The sequence below is a fragment of the Homo sapiens genome, chromosome 7 (genome assembly GCF_000001405.40).
Source record: "Homo sapiens chromosome 7, GRCh38.p14 Primary Assembly".
NCBI classification, from domain to species: Eukaryota; Metazoa; Chordata; class Mammalia; order Primates; family Hominidae; genus Homo; species Homo sapiens.
In genome coordinates this window covers 118,426,330-118,450,768 of record NC_000007.14, presented here as the reverse complement: position 1 = coordinate 118,450,768, position 24,439 = coordinate 118,426,330, and the positions used below count along the sequence as shown (strand labels likewise).

The 24,439-nt window shown below is 38.3% G+C and overlaps 1 long non-coding RNA gene across 2 annotated transcripts, besides 1 other annotated feature; it reads right to left on the bottom strand.

Moving 5' to 3' along the window:
- Positions 4,495-5,694: an enhancer, noted in NCBI's record as "BRD4-independent group 4 enhancer chr7:118085129-118086328 (GRCh37/hg19 assembly coordinates)". NCBI's record gives its function as "activates an origin of replication core promoter dependent on BRD2, P300/CBP, MED14 and CDK7 cofactors, and independent of BRD4, by STARR-seq in HCT116 cells {active_cell/tissue: HCT116}" and the evidence as "EXISTENCE:reporter gene assay evidence [ECO:0000049][PMID:35650434]".
- On the bottom strand, positions 6,682-23,729 carry LOC105375471 (uncharacterized). 2 transcript variants are annotated; one of them, XR_927905.2, is made up of 3 exons: positions 23,695-23,729; positions 22,935-23,009; positions 6,682-7,369 (listed from the first exon to the last, which is right to left on the bottom strand). It is a non-coding gene; the product is annotated as an uncharacterized LOC105375471 (long non-coding RNA). The 2 variants fall into 2 exon arrangements; XR_927906.2 differs by lacking the exon at positions 6,682-7,369 and adding an exon at positions 18,757-18,845.
- Positions 23,730-24,439: the final 710 nt, after the last annotated feature.

Below are 24,439 nucleotides of genomic sequence, written 5' to 3'. Positions count from 1 at the left end.
ACCAACTTGACCAAAATGATAGTCATTAGAAACTCCATACAGAAACACTAGAATATACATTATTTTCCAATCGATGTAGACATTTGCCAAGATAGCATAATATGCTCCACAAAACAAGTCTCACATAATACGTAAGTAATCTGACCACAACGGAAGTTAATTAGAAACCAGAAAGATTAGAAAATTAGAAACAAAAAAAAATGTGGAATTTTCCCTATAATGGGTTGAATAGTGTCAACTAAAATTCCCATCCTTCCCAGAACCTCAAAATTTGACCTTATTTGGAAACAGGGTTTTTGCAGATATAACTAGTTAAGTAAAGATGAGGTCATATTGGAGTAGGGTGGGCCCTTAATTCTTTATGACTTGTGTCCTCATAAGAGGAGAAAAGACACATAGACACACCCACAGAACAGCATGTGATGGCAGAGAGATCGGAGTGATTTAACCAAGGAATTCCAAGACCTGCTAGCCACCATTAGAAGCCAGATGTCGGCAAGAAATCATTCTTTTTCAAAGTCTTAAAGAGAGAGCAAAGTTCTGCTGACACTTTGATTTCAGACTTCTAGCCTTCATAACAGTAAGAAAATAAATTTCTTTGGTTTTAAACTGACCAGTTTGTGGTATATTTTTATGGCAACTCTAGGAAACTAATACATTTTTCAAATATTTATAAACAAAAGTATAAGTTTTTAAATAACCCATGGGTCAAAGAAGAAATCAAAAGGGAAATCAAAGTGTTTTCAGGTGAATGAAAATGAAAGCAAAAGAACTCAAAATTTTGATGATGTGGCTAAAGTACATTTGGGGAATAAAATGTAATAAACAGCTGTATTAAAAAGAAAAGTTCAGCTTCCATGACACATTTAGGCATTTAAAAAAAGAAGGAGAAATAAAAAGAAAGAGCAAAGTGGACCCAAATTAAACAGAAGATGTAGAATAATAAACATTAAAATACAAATTGATGAAATAGAAAACAGAAAATGAATAGAAAAAAATCAGTGGAACCAAATCTAGTTATTTGAGTATATCAATAAAAGCGATAAACTTCTAGTCAGACAAATCATGGAAAAAGAGAAAGGAAATTACCAATAACAGAAATGAAACACATGTTCACTCCAGTTTTTACGGTTACTACAGAGGCTGAGGTGGGAAGATCACTTCAGCCCAGTAAGTCACGGCTGCAATGAGCTGTGATCTGCACTCCAGCCTGGTTGGCAAAGCAAGACCCTGCCCTCCTCTCGGCCACCAAAAATCTAAAAGAAATAGAAATAGTCAAGGAATTAATTATCTCCTGAAGTCTCTAGAGGGAGTGGGGCCCCGCCAACACCTCTATTTTGGCCCCAGACCCCAGCGATACTGATTTCAGACATCTGAATAAGGGAGAAAATTTCTGTTATTTAAGAGGATGGTAATTTTTACTGTGGCACTATTCACAATAGCAAAGACTTGGAACCAACCCAAATGTCCATCAATGATAGACTGGATTAAGAAAATGTGGCACATATACACCATGGAATACTATGCAGCCATAAAAAAGGATGAGTTCATGTCCTTAAGTAATTTTGTCAGGCAGAAGGTAAATGATACTATGTGGAATTATGAATCTATGAAAAGGGATAAAGAAATAAAAAGCATCAGAAAGTTAATTATAAGTAAATTATATAAATTTAAAATGTAAATGAAAATACAGGCATACCTCACTTTATCACTCTCTGTTGTGATTCATGATACTGCACTTTTTACAAATTGAACATTTGTGGGAACCTTGTGTAAAGCAAGTCTTTGGAGCAATTTTTCCAACAGCACGTGCTCACTTCATGTCTCTGGCTCACATTTCGGTAATACGTGCAGTATTTCCAACTTTTTCAGTTTTATTATATCTGTTATGGTGACCTGTAATCAGTGATCTTTGATGGTACTATTTTAGTTGTTTTGGACACCACAAACTACACCCATATAAGACAGAGAACAAAATCAATAAATGTTGTGTGGTTCTGACTGCTCAATTGACTGGCCATTCCCCATCTCTCTCCCTCTCCCAGAGCCTCCCTATTCTCTTAGGGACAACAATATCAGAATTAGGCCAATGAATAACTCTATCATGGCTTCTGAGTGTTCAAGTGAAAGGAGAAGTTGCACGTTTCTCAATTTAAATCAAAAGCTGTAAATGATAAAGCTTGGTCAGGAAAGCATGTTGAAAGCCAAGACAGGCTGAGAGTTAGGCCTCTTGCGCTAAATAGCCAAGACATCAATGAAAATAAAAACTTATTGAAGAAAATTTAAAGTGCTACTCCTGTGAACATATAATGATAAGAAGTCAAAACAGCCTTATTGATGATAGGAAGAAAATTTCAGTAAGTCCGGGTAGAAGATCAAACCAGCCACATTTCCTTAAGCCAAAATCTAATCCATAGAAAGGCCCTAACTCTTTTCAGTTCTATGAAGGCTGAGAGGGATGAGGAAGCTCCAAAAGAAAAGATAGAAGCTAGCAGAGGTGATTCATGAGATTTAAGGAGAGAAGTTATCTCCACAGCATAAAAGTACAAGGTGAAGCAGCAAGTGCTAATGTAGAAGGAGCAGCATGTTATCCAGATGATCAAGCTTAGATCATTGATGAAGGTGGCTTCAGAAAACAGATTTTCATTGTAGACAAAACAGATTTTACTGGAATAAGATGCCATCCAGGACATTCACAGCTAGAAAGGAGAAGTCAATGCCTGGCTTCAAAGCTTAAAGACAGGCTAACTCTCTTTTTAGGACCTAATGCAGTTGATGCGATTAACTTGAAATATTCATTTACCATTGCAAAAATCTTAGAGCCCTTAAGAATTATACTAAATCTACTCTGCCTGTGCTCTAGAAATGGAAGGAAAAAGCCTGGATGATAGCACATCTGTTTACAGCATGGTTTACTGAATATTTTAAGCCCACTCTTGAGACCTAGAGCCCAAAAAGAAAGATTCCTTTCAAAATATTACTGCTCATAGACAATGCTCCTGGTGACCCAAGAGCTCTGATGGAGATGTAGAAAGAGATCAATGCTGTTTGCATGCCTAATAACACAGCAACCATTCTGTATCCCATGGATCAAGGAGTAATTTTGACTTTCAAATCTTATTTTTTAAGATTTAGATTTCATAAGGCTATCCCTGCCATAGATCGTGATTCTTCTGAGGGATCTGGGTAAAGCAAATTGAAAATCTTGCTTTCTCAAATCTTGCTTTCGAAAGAATTCACCATTCTAGGTGTCATTAAAAACATTTGTGATTCATGGAAGGAGCTCAAAATATCTACATTAACAGGAGTTTGGAAGAAGTTGATTTCAACTCTCATGGATAAATTTGAGGGGTTCAAGACATCAGTAGAGAAGGCCTTGCAACATGGTAGAAATAGCAGGAGAACTAGAATTAGAAGCAGAGCCTAAAGATGACAGTAAATTGCTGCAATCTCATGATAAAACTTTCTTGGATGAGGAGTTGCTTCTCATGGATGAGGAAAGGAAGTGGTTTCCTGAGATGGAATATATTCCTGGTGAAGAGGCTGTGAACACTGTTGAAATGAAAGCAAAAGATTTACAATATTACATAAACTTGGTTGATAAAGCAGTGGCGGGGTTTGAGAGGCTTGATTATAATTTTGAAATAAATTCTGCTGTGGGTAAAATGTTATTAAACAGCTTTGCAAACTACAGAGAAGCCTTCTGTGAAAGGAAGACATGATTGGCATTTGAATCAGTGTACTAAGTAGAGAAGATGTGCCCTCACCTGGTGTGGGAGGGCACCATGAATCAACTGAGGGCCTGAATAGAGCAAAAAGGCAAATTCCCTTTCTCTCTCCTAGAGTTGAGGCACTCTACTTCTCCTGCTTCTCTCAGAACTCCAGGTCTCTGGCCTTTGGGCTCTGGGACTTACACCAGTGGTCCCTCAGTTTCTCAGGCCATTGGCCTCAGACTGAGAGTTATACCATCGGCTTCCATGTTCTGAGGCCTTTTGACTTGGACTGAGCCAGCTTCCCTGGTTCTCCAGCTTAAAGATGGCCTAATGTAAAATTTCTCAGCCTCCATAATCTCATGAGTCAATTCACCTAATAAATCCCCTCTCATATATCTCTCTATCTCTATCTGTCTGTCTATCTATCTATCTATCGGTCTATCTATCATTATCATCTATCTATATCTATATCTATCTATCTTATTGGTTTCTCTGGAGAACCCTGTCTAATACAGACTTAAAGTTCACAATAGTGTAACCTCCCCCAAGAATGTAACCCCTTAAAAAGCCTATAACCTCCCCCAAAGAAATCCTCACTCTCATATTAGTCCACACTCAGCCTCCAGCAATTCCTCAAAATTACCTTGTGTTTCTACCAGTACAAGTCTTCAGATGGCTCAGGTAAGAAGATGTAAACTGTTACTCTGGATTTGCCTGTCTATAGATTTTGGGGTAATCACACTTGCCCCATGAGTTCAGTCTTCTGATGGGTCCAAAAATGTCACTGGGTTTCAGTTTGATCAGATTTTTTTGTTTTTCTTTAAGATGTGAGTGAGAACTTCCAAGGTCTTAGGACAAAGCTAAAACCAGAAACTCCAAAACCGGTTTTTGAAACACTCAAAATGATGTTTCTAAGCTTGTGAGTCTATGAATAATATATTTTGGTATTGTAACAAACAACAGAGAAACAATGAGATGTTCAACATATTGACTTATAATGAACTCTTACAATGTCTGCTTCTATCTACAATTTTATAAATGTAAACTACAGATAAGCAAGGGGTAATTATAATTCTGGTTCTAAAGCAGATTAACATGCCACAATTTTCATACTTTTCAGAGTTTAAAACCCATTTTATCTGTTACTTAATTTATATATGAAGTTGATAAAACAAAAAGCTATAATAATAGTAACAGAGTAATAATGATGTGTTTCTCATCTTTAATATAGTGTTTTACTTCTGGTGTAGACAAGAATCACAGAAGATTTGCGTGGAAGAGCCAGCAAAGATCCCTTCAAACCACTGTCAAGGGGAGTAGAATTTTAACATACACCCAGGACATTCTCTTTTTATTTTTTTGAGACAGAATCTCACTCTGTCACCCAGGCTGGTGTGCAGTGGCATGATCTCAGCTCACTGCAACCTCTGCCTCCCGGGTTCAAGCGATTCTTCTGCCGCAGCCTCTCGAGTAGCTGGGACTACAGGTGTGTGCCACCACACCTGGCTAATTTTTGTATTTTTAGTAGAGATGGAGTTTCACCATATTAGCCAAGCTGGTCTCGAACTCCTGACCTCATGATTCATCCGCCTCGGCCTCTCAAAGTGCTGGGATTACAGGTGTGAGCCACTGTGCCCGGCCGGGCATTCTTCATAACAGATGTTACTTTCAGGGAAAAGTCTTAATAGGACTTTGTTTCAAAAGGGATTAAGTGTATCACTCTCTTCCTCCTTCTAGGATTTCTGCTTCAACTAATTAGGGAACAAAGGCTAAGAATTACTTAAAAGTCACAGACCAAGGACACAGATCCACTGAAAGATAGAGATTTCATCGTAAGATTAGAGAAGGCTTCCACTTCCCCACCCCTTATCATCATACCAACAGGACTTACTGCTGAAAGTCCTGCAAGATACAAATTTGAAAAGAAGAACATAGAGAAGCCTGAAATCAGCAAAGGAAATAAAAACAAGGACATCAGAAGCGTTTGAAACATCCTGGCAACACAGATACAGCAAACATTAAACACAGCACAATGCCTAGCCAGATTAAAATAAAACCTCAAATTCAAGGCCAATATATGTCCTGTTGTCAACATATTGCTATTATTTGCTTTTAATTAGATCTTGTTTTCTCTTTATAGGTAAATCCATACACATGAATCGCAAGAACAGTTGTTGTTTTCTTTTGAGGCAAGGTCTCTGTCACCCAGGTTGGAGTGCAGTGGCATGATCACAGCTCACTGCAGTCTGGAACTCTTGCACTCAAGCGATTCTCTCACCACAGCCTTCCAAGTAGCTAGGGCTACAGGTACATGCCACCACGCCAATTGTATTTTTTGTTTGTTTGTTTGTTTTTCTAGAACCGGGAGTCTCACTATCTTGCCCAGGCTGGTCTCAAATTCCTGGCTTCAAGCGATTCCCACCTCACCCTCCCAAATTGCTGAGAATACAGGCGAAGAACAGAGTTTTAGAAACATTTCTACAGTAGTAACAGAAAGAAAAAACAGAGCTGACTTAAGTGTCTCAGATCCTCAAAATAGTTTTAATTGAATATATATTTGATTTCAGGTAAAAAAAGGATTTTTTGTCAGGATTATATATGTAGTAGATTCATTTCCTACCTTTTATTTATGTGACTGGCCTTCTCATAAACCTTCATGGAAGAAAATTTAAAATTTTTCTGAAATTTTAAAGTTTTTCTGGTACCAACGCACAAGATTAATAAATAACTTATGAGGCCTAGGCGGGCAGATCATGAGGTCAGGAGATCAAGACCGTCCTGGCTAACATGGTGCAACCCCGTCTCTACTAAAAATACAAAAAATTAGCCAGGTGTGGTGGCGGGCACCTATAGTCCCAGCTACTCGGGAGGCTGAGGCAGGAGAATGGCATGAACCCAGGAGGCGGAGCTTGCAGTGAGCTGAGATCATGCCACTGCACTCAAGCCTGGGTGACAGAACAAGTCTCCATCTCAAAATAAAATAAAATTAATTAAATAAATAAATAAATAACGTATGCTTTTGAAGAGAATAAACATAAACTAGAATTAGGAAGTTATAGAAACTTTGCTTTAAAAAAATCTCACCAAGTCAGGACAATCATGGTTTCACATAAATATTAGGTTGGTGCAAAAGTAATTGGAGTTTTTGCCATTAAATTACTATTGCACCAACCTAATATTAGTATCACCCTATCTGACTCTAAAAATTCATCTTTAAGACCCTTTGATATTTGGCCTCTGATCATTTTTCCAGTCTCATTTTATGCCACCCTCCCTAAACACATCTCCCTTTAGATATTCAACCTTTCCTTTGGTTTTATGAATACCCTAAAGAACTGGCATGAGCTTTTTTTCTATGCCAGAATCACTCTGCCTCCAGTTCACTGGTCAACTCTTACTCATTTCCCAAGTTACACTTGAAACATTTCTTCCCTAGGGAGGCTTTCTTTGACACTACAGTCTTATACCCAAATTAATTCATTAATTCTCCATTAATTGCTCTAATAAAACGTTCACTTCCCTTTTGTAGTCTTCCCATCATTGTAGGTGAAGACTTTGTTTAATATCTATCTTCTCTTCTAGACTGTAAGCTCCATCAAGGCAAAAACCAGTCGTCTTTGTGACTTCTCTTCTCCTGGAGTCTGCTACAGGAGTGACTGGCACAAAGAAAGAGTTTGTAAATATGATAAGATACATGAAATGTAATGACTCTCCTTATCTCTATCACACAAATAAAGAAACTGAGATTTTTAAAAGTTTATATATAATCTTCAGTCATAATCCTGGTAAACAATAAGGAATTATTTTTAAGCTCACATAAAAAGAATTTACTTAAAAAATAAAATTATAGAGGAAGCTTGGGACACAACAAAAATATACAATTTCTATTAATACACTTACCAAGACATGAGAATATACCATATAAAAAATTATGAAACTATGCTAAAGAACAAAAAAGAAATTTTTGAAACTTTTGTTTTTGGCTCAGGGGTACATGTGCAGGTTTGAAACATATGTAAACTCATATCATGGGGGTCTGTTGTACAGGTTATTTCATCACCCAGATGCTAAGCCTAGTACCCAATATTTATCTTTTCTACTCTTCTCCCTCCTCCCGCCCTGTACCTCAAGTGGACCCCAGTGTCTATCGCTCCCTTCTTTGTGTTCATTAGTTATCACCATTTAGCTCCCACTTATAAGTGAGTACATATGGTATTTGGCTTTCTTTTCCTGTGTCAAGTTTGCTAAAGATAGTGGCCCCCAGCTTCATCAATTTTCCTGCAAAAGACATGATCTCATTCTTTTTTGTGTGTGCATAGTATTCTATGGTGTATGTAGGCCACATTTTCTTCATGCAATTTGTCATTGATGGGCATTGAAGTTAACACCATGTCTTCGCTATTGTAAATAGTGCTGCAATGAACATTTGTATGCATGTGTATTTATGGTAGAATAATTTTTATTCCTTTGGGTATATACCCAGTAATGAAATTCTTGGGTCAAATGGTAGTTCTGTTTTTAGCTCTTTGAGAAATCATCATACTGCTTTCCACAATGGTTGAACTAATTTACACTCCCACCAAAAGTGGTGTTCACTTTTCTCTACAATCTCATCAGTATCTGTTTTTTTTTTTACTTTTTCATAATAGCCATTCTGACTGATGTGAGATGGTATCTCATTTTGGTTATGATTTGCATTTCTCTAATGATCAGTGATATTGAGGTTTTTTTCATAAGCTTCTTGGCCACATGTATGCCTTATCTTAAAAAAAGTTTGTTCCTGTCCTTTGCCCTCTTTTTAATGAGGTTGTTTTTCTCTTGTAAATTTGTTTAAGTCCCTTATAGATGCTGGATATTAAACCTTTGTCAGATGCATAGTTTGCAAAACTTTCCTCCCATTCTGTAGGTTGTTTATTCTGTTGATGATAGTTTCTTTTGCTGTGCAGGAACTCTTAAGTTTAATTGCATCCCACTCATCAATTTTTGCTTTTGTTGCAATTCTTTTTGGCACCTTTGTCACTAATCTTTTCCCATTTCTATTCCAGGATGGTATTGTCTAGGTTGTCTTCCAGGGATTTTATAGTTTGGGGTTTTACATTTAAGTCTAAGTCACCTTGAGTTGATTTTTGCATATGGTGTAAGGAAGTGGTCCAGTTTCAACCTTTTGCTTCCAGCACCATTTATTAAACAGGGACTATTTTCCCCACTGCTTGTTTTTGTCATCCTTGTCAAAGATCACACAGTCATAGGTCTTATTTCTGGACTCTCTATTATTCTGTTTCATTGGTCCATGTTTCTGTTTTTGTAGCAGTACCATGCTGTTTTGTTTACTGTGGCTCTGTAGTATAGTTTGAAGTTGGATAACGTGATGCCTCCAGCTTTGTTCTTTTTGCTTAGGATTGCCTTGGCTATTTGGGACCTTTTTTGGTTCCAAATGAATTTAAAATAGCTTTTTCTACTTCTGTGAAGAATGTCATTGGTAGTTTGATAGAAACAGCATTGGCCAGCTGTAATGGCTCACACCTGTAATCCCAGCACTTTGGGAGGCCCAGGAAGGTGGATCGCCTGAGGTCAGGAGTTCAAGACCAGCTTGGTAAACGTGGTGAAACTCCTTCTCTTCAAAAAATACAACAAGTATCCAGGTGTGGTGGTACACATCTGTAATCCCAACTACTCAGGAGGCTGAGGAACAAGAATCACTTGAACCTGACAGGCAGAGGTTGCAGTGACCTGAAATTCTGCCATTGCACTCCAGCCTGGGCAATAGAATGAGATTCTGTCTCAAAAAAAAAAAAAAAAACAGAAATTTCAAAAAAGACAAAAAAATAGCATTGAATGTGTAAATTGCTTTGGGTAGTATGGCCATTTTAATGATATTGATTCTTCCTAACCATAAGCATGGAATGTTTTTCCATGTGTTTATGTCATCTCTGATTTCTTCAAGCAGTGTTTTGTAATTCTCATTGTAGAGATCTTTCACCTCCCTGGTTAGCTGTATTTTATTTTTGGTGGCAATTGTGAATGGGATTGTCTTCCCAATTTGGCTCTTGGCTTGACTATTATTGGTGTGTAGCAATGCTAGTGATTTTTGTACATTGATTTTGTATCCTGAGACTTTGCTGATGTTGTTTAACAGCTTACAGAGCTTTTGGGCCAAGACTATGTGGTTTTCTAGGTATAGAAACATGTTGTCTGCAAAGATGGATAGTTTGACTTCCTCTCTTCCTATCTGGATGCACTTTCTTTCTTTCTGTTGCCTGATTGTTCTGACCAGGACTTCCAATACCATGTTGAATGGGAGTGGAGATAAAGGACATCCTTATCTTGTGCTGCTTTTCAAGGGGAATGCTTCCAGCTTTTCCCCATTCAAAATAATATTGGCTGTGTCATCTTTCATAGATGACTGTTATTATTTTGGGGTATGTTCCTTTAATATCTAGTTTATAGAGAGTTTTTAACGTGAAGGAATGTTTAATTTTATCAAAAGTTTTTCTGCATCTATTGAGATTATCTTTTTTTTAGTTTTGTTTATGTGATGAATCACATTTATTGATTGGCATAGGTTGAATCAACCTTGCATACCAGAGATGAAGCCTGCTTGATGGTGGTGAATTTGTTGAGGATTATTGCATAGTGTTACTGGCTTGAAGTTTTCTTCTTTTATTGTGTCTCTGCCAGGTTTTGGTATCAGGATGGTGCTGCCCACATAGAACGAGTAGGGTAGAAGTTCCTCTTCCTCAATTTTTTGTAACAGTATCAGCAGGAATGGCACTTGCTCTTATTTGTACATCTGGTATAATTATTCTGTGAATCCTTCTGGTCCTGGGCTTTTTTTTTTCAGTTGGTAGGGTAGGCTATTTATTATGCATTCAACATTGGAATTTGTTATTGGTCTGTTCAGGGAATCAATTTCTTCCTGGTTCAGTCTTGGGAAGGTGTATGTGTCCAGGAATTTACCCATCTCTTCTCCGTTTTTTAGTTTGTGTGCATAGAGGTGTTTATAGGAGTTTGTGATGGTTATTTTTATGTCTGTGGGGTCAGCGGTACCATCTCCTTTGTCATTTCTAATTGTGTTTATTTGCATATTCTTTTTTATTAGTCTAGCTAGAGGCTTATCTACGTTATTATTTAAAAAGAATCAACTCCTGGATTTGTTGATCTTTTAAATGGTTTTTCATATTTTGGCTTCCTTCAGTTCAACTCTGATTTTGTTTATTTATTGTATTGTGCTAGCCTTGGGGTTGATTTGTTCTTGCTTCTCTAATTCTTTCAGTTGTGTTGTTCACTTGAAACAACAAGTTCAGTTAGGTTGTTAACTTGAAATTTTTCTAATTTTATGATGTGGGCATTTAGTGCTACGAATTTCCCTCAGCGCTGTGTTAGCTATGTCCCAGAGATTCTGGTATGTTGTAATTTTGTTCTCATTATTTTCAAAAATCTTTTTAATTTCTGCCTGAATTTCATCCTTTCCCAAAAGTTATTCAGGAGCTTATTGCCAATGTAATCGCATAGTTTTAAGTGATTTTTTTAAAATCTTGACTTATGTTTATATTGTGCTGTGGTCCCTGTGTGTACCTGGTATAATTTCAATTCTTTCGCATTTGTTGAGGATTGTTTTATGTCCAGTTTATGGACATATGTGGTAGATTTTAGAGTAAATTCCATGTGGTGATGTGAGGAATTTATATTCTGTTGTTTAGGGGTGAAGAGTTCTGTAGATATCTACCAGATCCATTTGGTCTAATGTTGAGTTCAGGTCGCAAATATGTTTGTTAATTTTCTGCCTCGATCTCTCTAATACTGCTAGTGGAGTGTTGAAGTCTCCTACTATTATTCTGTGGGAGTCTAAATCTCTTTGTGGGCCTCTAAAAGTTGCTTTATGAATCTGGGTACTCTTGTATTGGGTGCAAATATATTTAGGATAGTTAAGTCTTCTTGTTGAATTGAACCTTTTACCATTATGTAATGCTCTTCTTTGTCTTTCTCGCTCATTGTTTTTTTAGAGTCTGTTCTATCTGAAAATAGAATTGCAACCCCTGCTTTTTTCTGATTTCCATTTGCTTGGTAGATTTTCCTGCATCCCTTTATTTTTAGCTGATGGGTGTCATTATGTGTGAGACAGTCTCTGGAAGACATCTTGCCATTGGGTCTTGCTTTTTTATCCAAGCTTGCCACTCTGTGTCTTTTAAACGAAGGATTTATCCCATTTACATTCAACATTAGTATTAATATATGTGGATTTTATCCTGTCATTGTGTTGTTACAGGTTATTACTGGTTATTGTGTTGTTACAGGTTATTATGCTGTGTGTTACAGGTTATTAAGCTGGCTTGTTTGTGTGATTGCTTTACAGTGTCACTGGTCTGTGTATTTAAGTGTGTTGTATTAGCTGGTAACAGTTTTTCCTTTATTTAGTGCTCCTTTCAAGATCTCTTATAAGGAAAGTCTGGAGGTAACTAACTCCCTCAACATTTGCTTATCTGAAAATGATCTTACTTCTTTTTTACTTGGAAATCTTAGTTTGGTTGGATATGAAATTGTTGGTTGAAGACTTTTTTCTTTAAAATGTTGAATAGAGACCGCCAATTTCTTCTGACTTGCAGGGTTTGAGCTGAGAGGTCTGCTATTAGCCTGATGGGGTTCCCCTTATAGGTGACCTGCCCTTTCTCTCTAGCTGCCTTTAACTTCTTTCATTCATTTCAAGCTTGGAAAATCCAATGATTACGTGTCTTGAGGATAATGAGCTTGTGTAGAACCTGGTAGGGGTTCTCTGTATTTTCTGAATTTGACTGTTGGCTTCTGTAGCAAGGTTGGGGAATTTTTCATGAAAATATCTTTAAATAGGTATTCCAAGTTGTTTGTTTTCTCCCCATCCCTTTGAGGGATGCCAGTGATTTGTAGATTTTGGCCTCTTCACATAACCCCATATTTCTCAAGGTTTTGTTCCTTCCTTTTCATTCATTTTCTTTATTTTTGTCTGAATGTCTTATTACAAAAAGCCAATCTTCAAGTTCTGAAATTCTTTCCTCTGCTTCGTCTATTCTGCTGTTAATACTTGTGATTGCATTGTGAAATTCTTGCAGTGTGTTTTTCAGCTCTGTCAGATATGTTCGGTTCTTTTTTATAACAGCTGTTTTATCTTTCGGCTCCTGTATTATTTAATTGTGATTCTTAGTTTTCTTGGATCACTTTTTACCATTCTCCTGAATTTTGATGATCTTCATTTACATCCATATTCTGAATTCTATCTCTGTCATTTCAGTCAGGTCAGCCTGGTTAAGAACCCTGTTGAAGAACTGCTGCGATCATTTGGAGGACATGCGACACTGTGGTCATTTGAGTTATTGGAGTTCTTGCATTGGTTTTTTTCTCATCTCTGCATGTGGGTGTTCCTTTAACTGCAGCGCACACTGAGTACAGTAAATAGACTTATTTTCTAGATGTTTTCATAGGGCAAGGCTTTGTGCAGGGTCTTTATTTGAAGCTAACTTCTTGTCTTTGGTTTCATGTTAGCAAGGTATTTTTGGTGTTACAGCTTTGGGATGTGATACAGTAGGTGGCGCTTAGGTGTACTGGTCAGTTGATCTTGCTTGGTCATGTGGCTCCCCTAGATTTCCTCAGAGTTGCAACTTTGGTCCCTCTCAATGCTCTGAAAGTATGGGTTCCTCTCCCACTGTAGTGCTAGCTGTAGATCACAGCTTGGCACTCCTGGGCTGCCCACTTCAACTCTGGGGTGATCTCAAGGTGTATTTTCCTTCCCCAACTTGAAGGCAGCAAAGGAAGGGACCTTAGTAGTGGTTGTGGCCAAAAGTCTTTTGCTTGTCTACTGGGGGCTCCACCACAAGGAGATGCAGGTCAGCACTTGCTCAATGCAATTGATACAGGAGATAGAAAGAAATTATTTAGGCAGATAGTGAAGGTAAAAGAGTCTCAGCAGAATTTCCCTTTTAACAAAAAGCAGCTTAAAAAATCATTTCTTTTCTAACAAAGAGCAGCCTGAAAAATCGAGTTGCAAACATAGATAAGCAAGCTGGAAGATTGCACAGGTGAATGCCAGCAGCTGTGCCAATAGAAGATGGCTACCTGGGGGCCAGGTATGTTCAACATGGAGGCTCCATCTTCCCTTCTCTTTTTCACCACGTGTACAGTAAAGAAACAGGCAACATGATGCCAGCAAGGCAGAGAACCCATCTGCATAATAAAAGATTAGGTGGGAGCGGCCAGATTTTCACACCCTATGCAAATAGCACACCTGGTCCAACCAATTTTGCATATTCTATGTAAATCAGACACCAGCTCCTCAGGCTCATCTATCAAACCCGCTGCATTTCATCACAGAAGTGGCAACCCATTTCTCTAGGACCCTTCTCTGTAGCGAGAGCTTCTCTCCTTTTCTCACCTATTAGACTTCCACTCTGAACATCACTCTTGTGTCTGTATCCTAGTTTTCTATAGCTCAGAGACAACAAATCTTGAGTAGACCCCAGACAACGATGCCACTTCACAATCAGCCCAGGATGAGCGTTTATTCTGTGAGCCAAAGTCCAGGATTTCCTGTCTGGTGACAAGCACAGAGTGAGGGGCACCTATGGGAGACAAACCTCTCCTCTCCTTGGGTTGACTGCAGTTTGTTGGAGGTGCAGATAAGGCACTTAGGGTCTTTGTTCATTCACTAGTCTGATAGTGACAAGGGCAGTTCCACTGCAGAAGGAGTGGCAGAGGCTTTTAGTTACCCTTGGGGGCTCCACCTCCAAGAAATGTGGAGCTGCTGTTAGTGAGGGTGTTCAGCCAGTGGGCTGGGGTGGCTGTACTCCTGGCATGACCTTGGGGTTACAGTTGTTAGGGAACAGGGTGTTGAAGGCTCATAAGCAAAAGAGATTGGCCTCTTCTCTGTATGGTGGCTGTGGCATGCTGTAAGCTTGAGTGTAGCTCTCAGGCTCTTTGTTTCTTCCTCAAACCAAGGGCAGCAGAAATAGAACTATTACTGTGGCAGTGGCAGAGGGGCTGTTGTAAGTATCTAGGAGTCTCTCCCCAGGGAAACTCCAGTCCACTACCAGTGGGTATGCTTAGCCATGGATGGGGCAACTGTTCTGCATTCATGAGCCAGGGGCCTTGCCTGGTGAAAAGTGAGGGTGAGGGTTCCCAGGGAAGAGGGGCTGGACTCCTCTCCGTATGGTGGCTGCAGCGTGCTGAAAGTGCCAGTGTAATAACTAGGCTCTTTGTTCCTTCTCTGGGCTGTTAGGGCTGTAGGGCCGCACCACTGTAGGGGCAGAGGTGTTGTGGGTTGACTTTGGGGTTTCCTCCTTGGAGAAATGCTGGGCTGTCTCTGATTGCAGTGATCGTGTGGGGTAAGAATGGTTGTGCTAGAGTTCCAGGTTGAGCAGCCCTACCCAGTTAGGAGAGGTGAGGACCAGGATCTGCATGGAGAACAGTCTGGCCATGGAGAACAGTCTGGCCACTTTTCTGTGAGGTAGTTCCTCTGTGCTGGGGGTCCAGACCAGCCCTCGGTCCACACAGACTCTCCCAAGCCTGGAGACAGGAAAGGTGAAGGCAGCAAGACAGCAAAGATGCCAACCTATCCCTCCCATTGAGAGCTCTGTCCAAGGAGTTGCAGAGCTGCTACTGGCTCGATATTCCCAGCAGGGAGTTGCTGGAGATCCAGGACAAGAGGACCTGCCCATTTGAGGAGGTATGGAAACAGGCACCCATGTAACAGACTTAACACTTTTCCATAGGGCTGCTGCAGTATGCAGCAGCTGTGCCACTCCAGGATCTAGTTGCCTTGGACTCCCTAGAGCCCTAAGGCCACAATGGCTGAGGCTGTGAATCAGCAAAGATGGTCATCCGCCCCTGACCCGGGAGCTCTAGTCTTATACCCAGGAGGTGTATGACTGCTACCCATGCCAGTTTATCTTTGGGATTGATGTCAGATTAATATGACTATGTAATTAGTATGATTATGTTCTACTCTTTAGAACATACCTCAAAATAATAAGAGCATTCTATGACAAACCCACAGGCAACATCAAACTGAATGGGCAAAAGCTGGAAGCATTTCCCTTGAGAACCAGAACAAGACAATGGTGGTCACTTTTACCACTCCTATTCAACATAGTATTGAAAGTTCTAGCCATAGCAATCAGGGGAGAGAAAAAAATGAAAGGCATCTAAATAAAAAAGAGATGAAGTAAAACTATCTCTTTGCAGATGATATCATTCTATGTCTAGAAACCCCCATAGTCTCTGCTGAAAAGCTCCCAGGTCTGATAAAAAAAAGTTCAGCAAAGTTTCAGGATATCAATGTATGAAAATCAGTAAAATTTTATACACCAACAACATCCCAGTTGGGTGCCAAATCAGTAATGCAACCCCACTTGCAATAGCCACACAAAAATAAAATATCTAGGAATACAGCTAACCAGGGAGGAGAAAGATCTCTACACGAAATACAAAATACTGCTGAAAGAAATCAGAGATGACACAGACAAATGGAGAAGTATTCCATGTTCATGGATAAGAATAATCAATATTGTCAAAATGGCCATATGGTTCCAAGCAAATTACACATTCAGTGCTATTCTTCCCAAACTACCAATGACATTCTTCACAGAATTAGAAAAAAAAAAAACTATTCTAAAATTCAGATGGAACAAAAAGGAGGCCAAATAGCCAAGGCAATTCTGAGCAAAAAGAACAAAGCTGGAAGCATCACCTTACCCAACTTCAAACTACAAGGCTACAATATTAGTGTCCAAAAGAGCATGGTACTGGTACAAAATAGACACATAAACCAATAGAACAGGTTATAGAACCTAGAAATAAAGCTATACATCTACAACCATCTGATCTTTGACAAAGATTACAATAACAAGCAATGGGAAAAGGATTCAATAAATGATGCAGGGAAAACTCGCTAGCCATATGCAAAAGATTGAAACAGGACCCCTTTCTTATGCCATATACAAAAATCAACTCGAGATGGATTAAAGACTTCTATTAGTCCATTTTCACATTGCTATAAAGAACTATCTGAGACTTGGAAACTTATAATAAAAAAAGAGGTTTAATTGACTCACAGTTCCACAGGCTGTACAGGAAGCATGGCTGTGGAGGCCTCAAGAAACTTACAACCATGGTGGAAGAAGAAGAGGAAGAAGGCATGTCCTACATGGCTGGAGCAAGAGGAAGAGTGAGTAAAGGGGGAGATGCCACACACTTTCAAACAACCAGATCTCATGAGAACTCACTATCACAAGAACAGCAAGGGAGAAGTCCACCCCAATGATCCAATCACTTCCCACCAGGCCCTTCCTCCAACACTGGGTATTAAAATTTGACATGATATTTGGGCAGGGACACAAATCCAAACCATATCATTCTACCCTTGGCCCCTCCCAATCTCATGTCCTTCTCACATTGCAAAATACAACTATCCCTTCTCAACAGTCCCCCAAGTCTTAACTCATTTCAGAATTAACTCAAAAGTCCAGAGTCCAAAGTCTCATCTTAAACAAGGCAAGTTCCTTCTGCCTATGAGCCTGTAAAATAAAAAAAAAAAAGTTAGTTACTTCCAAGATACAATGAGGGTACAGTCACTGTGTCAATATCCCTGTCCCAAAAGGGAGAAATCAGCCAAAACAAAGGGGCTAAAGACCCCATGCAAGTCCAAAACCCAGCAGGGCAATCATTAAACCTTAAAGCTCCAAAATAATCCCCTTTGACTCCATGTCTCATATCCAGTCCACACTGATTCAAGGGGCAGGCTTTCAAGGCATTGGGCAGCTCCACACCTGTGACTCTGCAGGTACAGCCCCCTCGGCTGTTTTCATGGGCTGGTGTTGAGTGCATGTGGCTTTTCCAGGAACACAGTGCAAGCTGCTGGTGGATCTACCATTCTGGGGTCTGGAGGATGGTGGCCCTCTTCTCACAGCTCCTCTAGGCAATTCCCCAGAGGGAACTCTGTGTGGGAGTTTCAACCCCATATTTCCTCTCCACACTGCCCTAGTAGAGGTTCCATTAGGGCTTCACCTCAGCAGCAAACTTCTGCTTAGATATTCAGGAATTGCCATACATCTTCTGAAATCTCGACAGAGGGTCCCATGCCTCAACTCTTGCCCTCTGCATAGCCACAGGCTTAACACCACATGGAAGCCACCAAGGCATACAGCTTACACCCTCTGGAGCAGTGGCCTGAGACATATCTGAGGCCCATTTAGTTACAGCTGGAGCTGGAGCAGCTGGGATGCAGGAAGCAGTGTCCTGAGCTCATGCAGGGAAGCAGGGCCCTCGCCTCTGCCCACAAATCCATTCTTTCCATTCTAGGCCTCCAGGCCTGTGCTGGGAGATGCTGCCATGAAGTTCTCTGAAATGACTTTGAGGCATTTTCCCCATTGTTTTGGCTACTGACATTCAGCTCCTCATTACTTATGCAAATTTCTGAAACCAGCTTCAATTCATCCCCAGAAAACGGGTTTTTCTTTTCTACTACATTGTCAGGCTGCAAATTTTCTTAACTGTTATGCTCTGCTTTCCTTTTAAATATAAAAAAAGTTCCAGTTTCAGATTATCTCTTTGCTCATGCATATAACTTACTGTGTTAGAAGCAGCCAGACCACATCTTGAGTGCTTTGCTGTTTAGAAATTCCTTCTGCCAAATACTCTAAATCATCTCTTTCAAGTTCAAACTTCCACAGATCTCCAGGGAAGAGGCAAAATGCCTCCAAACTCTTTGCTAACGCATAACAAAAGTGACCTTTGCTCCAGTTCCCAATAAGTTTTCGCATCTCCATCTGAAACCACCTCAACCTGGACTTCATTATCCATATCACTATCAGCATTTTGTTCCCAAGAATTTAACAAGTCTCTAGAAAGTTCAAAACTTTCTCTCATCTTCCTGTCATCTTCTGAGCTCTCCAAACTGTTCCAACCTCTGCCCATTAGCCCCTTGCAAAGCTGCTTCCACACCATTCTCACATTGCTATAAGAAACTAGCTGAGACTGGTTAATTTATAAAGAAAAGAGGTTTAATTGACTTACAGTTCTGCAGGCTGTACAGGCAGCATGGTTGTGGAGTCCTCAGGAAACTTACAATCATGCCAAAAGGCAAAGAAGAAGGAGGCACATCCTACATGGCTAGAACAGGATGAAGAGATAATGAAGTGGGAGGTGCTGCACACTCCCAAACAACCAGATATTGTGAGAACTCACTCACAATCATGAGAACAGCAAGGGGGAAATCTGCCCCCATTAGCCAAGCACCTCCCACCAGGCCTGTTCTCCAACACTGGGGATTATAATTTGACATGAGATTTGGGAGGGGACGCAAATCCAAACCATATCAAGACTTAAGTGTGAAACCTAAAACTATAAAAACCTTGAAAGATAACCTAGGAAACACCATTCTGGACATGGGCCTTGGCAAAGATTTCATGAGAAGACACCAAAAGCAACTGCAGCAAAAACAAAAATTGACAAGTGAGACCTAATCAAATCAAAGTGATTCTGTACAGCAAAAAAAACTATCAATGGAGTAAACAGACAACCCACAGTATTGGAGAAAATATTTGCAAACTATGCATCTGACAAAGGCCTAATATCCATCATCTGTAAGGAACTTAAATTAACAAACAACAAACAAACAATCCCACTAAAAAGTGGGCAAAGAACATGAACAGACACTTTTCAGAAGACTTACGTGTGGCCAACAAGTATATGAAAAAAGTTCAATATCACTAATCATTAAAGAAATACAAATAAAGCTACACTGAGATACCATCTTATGCCAGTTGGAAGGCTATTATTAAAAAGTCAAAATATAACAGATGTTTACAAGGTTGCAGAGAAAAGGGAACGCTTACACGCTGCTGGTGGAAATGTAAACTAATTCAGTGACTGTGGAAAGTAGTCTGGAGTTTTCTCAAAGAACTTAAAATGGAAGTACCATTTAACCAGCAATTCCATTATTGAGGATTTACCCAAAGGAATGTAAATTGTTATATCATAAAGACACATGCACATGAATGTTCATCACAGCACTATTCACAATAGGAAAGACATGGAATCAACCTGGATGCCCATCAACAATAGACTGGATAAAGAAAATGTGTACATATAAACCATGGAATACTACTCAACCATAAAATATAATAAGAACATGTCCTTTGCAGCAACATGGATGGAGCTGGAGGTCATTATCCTAATGAACTAATGCAGGAACAGAAAACCAAATACCACATGTTCTCACTGATAAGTGGGACCTTAATCTTGAATACCCACAAAAACAGGAAGAGAAAAATAGACACCACAGCCTACTTGAGGGTAGAAGGTGAGAGGAAGGTAGGGATTAAAAACCTACCTATTGGGTACTGTGCTTATTTCCTGAGTGATGAAATAATTTGTACAGCAAACCTCTGTGATATGCAAATTACCTATATAACAAACTTGCGCATGCACCCCTAAAACTAAAGTTTAAAAAGTCTACCTTTCAATCAGTTACTCTGCCCAGCCTATAAATTTTTGTTAAAATCTTGTTCAATGACATTTTCTGAAACCAAAAATGTAAATTATTCAAATGCAATATATTGTACACTTAAAACTGATGCTAAAGAGAAATATTCCTTCAGACTTCATAATATAGTTCAACATATCAATGGAATACAATATTTAAAGACAAAGTTCTTGTATTAGTTTTCCTGGGCTATCATAGCAAAGTACCATAAACTGAATGGCCTAAACAAATAAATGCATTGTCTCACAATACTGGAGATTGAAACTGCAAGATCAAGGTATCAAGAGGGTTGGTTCTTTCTGAGAGCTGGGAGGAAGAATCTGTTTCATGCCTCCCCACTAACTGCTGGTGGTCTGCTAGCACTCCTGGGAATTCCTTGGCTTGCAAAAGCATTTTCCTAAGTGCTTCTTTAATTTCATCTGGCATTCTTCTTATGTGCATGATTGGCTTCAAAATTTCTCCTTTTAATAAGAACACATGTCATATTGGATTGGGGCACACCCTAATGACTTCGTTTTAATTTCACTACCTCTGTAAAGACTCTACCTCCAAATAAGGTCATATTCTATGATACTGGGAGTTAGGCCTTCAATATATAAACTTGGGGACGCACAACTGAACTAATAACAGTCATAGTTGATCCATTGGTATGATTAATGTAGTATTAAGTAGAGTGACTATACTTCCAACTATAACATCAAGTAACACTTACTTGTAAATTCATAATAATGTTAACTGAAACGATACATGCAAGCCTCTTTAAACCTGGATTCCTTTTTATAAGACTTCTCTTTTTTTCATGTTCTCAAAAATATTTAATGATACAGAAGTTCATCTCTTCACTGAAAAGAGCTGGACAGAAACCATACATGTAGTAGGACCCAGATTTTGTAAAACACACACACACACACAGCAAAACGCCAGATGAGATACCCTTGCAGTGTCACAGTGATTACCTATGTGGTAGTGGACTTGAGGATCATTTTCTACATGTGTAAGTGGCATATAGAATTTTAATAGCAACGATGGGGGTTTATGAAAAACTTTGAGGAATGCATTATCAATGGGGGCCGTGGAGCTTGCTTCCCCAAGGGCTCTTTGAACATAGGAAGCTTGGCAGCAAGAACAATTTTAAGATGACCCTGCCCAGAGGCAGGATGAGTAAGTAGCTGCAGATTCATTTAGTTTCTGCATCATTCCAACATGACTGTGGAAAATACAATTGTGGTGCCGGCCTCCCAAGAGTTTATCATCTAATCAAAGGCAGGCCACACACTAAGAGTTACCAATGGTTTTCTACATGCCAGAGGCAGTGCTAAATCCTTTATAGACATGATCTCACTTACTCCTCACCAGGAACACTGAGGGAAAGACAATTACTATATCTTCAAAAAACAGTATAGAGTAAGAATATTTCAGAAAAAATTAATGACAAGAAGTTATCAAATTTTTTAGTCTTATGCAAAGTAAAAGAAAATAATTTAGAGCATTCTACAATTCTTAAAGATAAGTTTTATTGAAGGAAGAAAACGTTTAATGTCACAGCATAGATTTTATATTAAATGTAGTAAACATCTGTTTAGGTGTTTACTTTTTGAAATTGTAAAATCAATGAAATATGAAAAAATGTTTTATATAATTTTAAGTTTTACAGAGAGGATGTAAATGTAGTCACGTATGTCATTTTCTGAGATCCAATGTCTTCACAAAAGTTATGATAATTAAAATGGTACTCCAAAATTGATATAATTATAAAACAACTCACATCTAATTCTAAGCTGTAGTAATTGAGCCTAGAGTGAGATTTATTCTGTGGTTAAGAAAGGCAATGGCATTTACAACTAGAATAAATTAAAGCAAATGAAGAGGAAAATTTTGTTCTGTGTAATATTTAGTTGATTATAGTCTTAATTGGGTATGCCAATCCATGTTCATCAATAGGGGATATGGTGTGTGCAAAAAATGAGGAAAAATTTATCACCAAGGCATAGCCTTTGTTTCACAAGCAGAGAAATTGTTGTAATATAATCTATCTGAATTTCTTAATGCCATACTGAAAGTATTCAAAAATGTGGGTAAAACACAACATTGCTGAACATTATTTCTCTTATACTTTGATTTGGAGAGAGAATTTGAAAGTATTTATGTTGCTTTAGGTAAACTTATCTCTTCATGATTTCTATCCCTTTAAAGAAATTATATTGTATTTAACTCTATATGTTTATTAAAATTGCAACAACTAATTCATTAGTTTAAATATAATTTTTGAAAAGAACTATTACATCAATATATTTGGATTTCAATTCTGAATGTAAGATTATTACTGACTAATAGGTATGTAGTAGGTAGAATAATGCTGCCTCAAAGATGTCCATGTCCCAATTCCCAGAATCTGAGTATGTTAACTTCCACGGCAAAAGATGTGATTTATCAATTTGTATCTGTGATGGACATATTTGTAGATTAGACTATGGATGAAATTAAGTCAAGGATCTTGAGATAGGAAGGCTATGATGGAATATCCAGGAGGGACTCAATGGAATCACAAGCATTTATATCCACGTAAAAGGGAGGCAGGAGCATCAGCGTCAAGGAAAGAGATATAATGACAGAAGCAGAGGTCAAAGTGATGTGATAGCTCGTGTTGAAGACAGAAGAGATCTATGAGTGAGCAGCCTTCTAGAAGACAGAAAAGGAAGGAAATTGAATCTCACCTAGGGTTTTCAGAAGGAACACAACTCTACTAACATCTTGATTTTAGCTTCTTGAGACCCATTTCAGACTTCAGACTGTAACATAATATATTGTTATTGTTTTAAGCCATTAAATTTGTGATAATTTGTTACAACAGCAAAAGGAAACTAAAACAGATCAATTTTATGATTGCAAGAAGCTAATAACAATAAAAATAATATCAACCTTTTAAAAAATTCTTAGAACTAAACATATCCTTTGTGACTCAGCAATGGCACCTTTTAATATTTATGCTACAAAAAAGGAAAACTATGTCCATATAAGCCTTATTTGTAATAATCAAATACTGAAGAGAACCCAAATTTCCTTTAATATGTGAATGATTGAGCCAACTCTGCTATATCTTATGAGTCTTTAGTAATTTATTAGTATATAGAGAGATCACATACGTATGTTCTATTTCATTGCTATTAGATGCAGAGTAAGTAAACTCATTTTCTGTTTAAATAAAAGAAGATGGGAAGGAAGAGGAAGATGAAGAGCAGGAATAAGGAGGACAAAGAGGAAGAAGAAAAGCCACCAAAATAATACAAGCATGATTGCCTATAAAATATAGCTTTACCGGCCGGGCATGGTGGATCATGCCTATAATCCCAGCACTTTGGGAGGCTGAGGTGGGAGGATCACGAGGTCAAGAAATTGATACCATCCTGGCCAACACGGTGAAACCCTGTCTCCACTAAAAATAAAAAAAAATTAGCTGGTCATTGTGGCACGCACCTGTAGTCCTAGCTTCTTGGGAGGCTGAGGCAGAAGAATCTCTTGAACCCAGAAGGCGGAGGTTACAATGAGCCGAGATCGCACCTCTGCACTCCAGCCTGGTGACAGAATGAGACTCCATCTTAAAAATATATATATATAAAAAAATACATATTTATAATATACATCATATATGTAATATATTATAATATTTGTAACACAATATATTTATAATATAATATTTATTATATATGTGTAATATATATTATAAAATATATATGTAATATAATTATAATATATAAATATATATTGTTATATATTATAAATATATATTATATTATAAATTCTTCCTTGATTCTTGGTGAAGCTATATATATGTATATATCAAGGAAGAATTTATAATAGCATACTTGAAACATTTGGCACTTGAAGTTTAGTGTATCAAGAAGGCTTATATACTTTAAATATAAATACATTTGCAACTCTTTCTGTCTTCTATGCATCTTATATAAGGAATATAAAAGTTTTCAGCAATTCACTATCTTCTGAGCTAAATATAAACATTCATTTTTTGAAATAATTCTTCCCACATCAAGGATTCTTCAACTAGGAAATGTATTTTTCACAACTCATTCAAATAGGAAAATGTTATGTAGAAAACAACTGTTGTCCAAAGTAACAGAATTGCTACAGAATAAACAAGGAAAACAAATTAATCTAAAGTATTTAGTGCCAACTCTAGTTTGCAATTTACCAGCACAATATT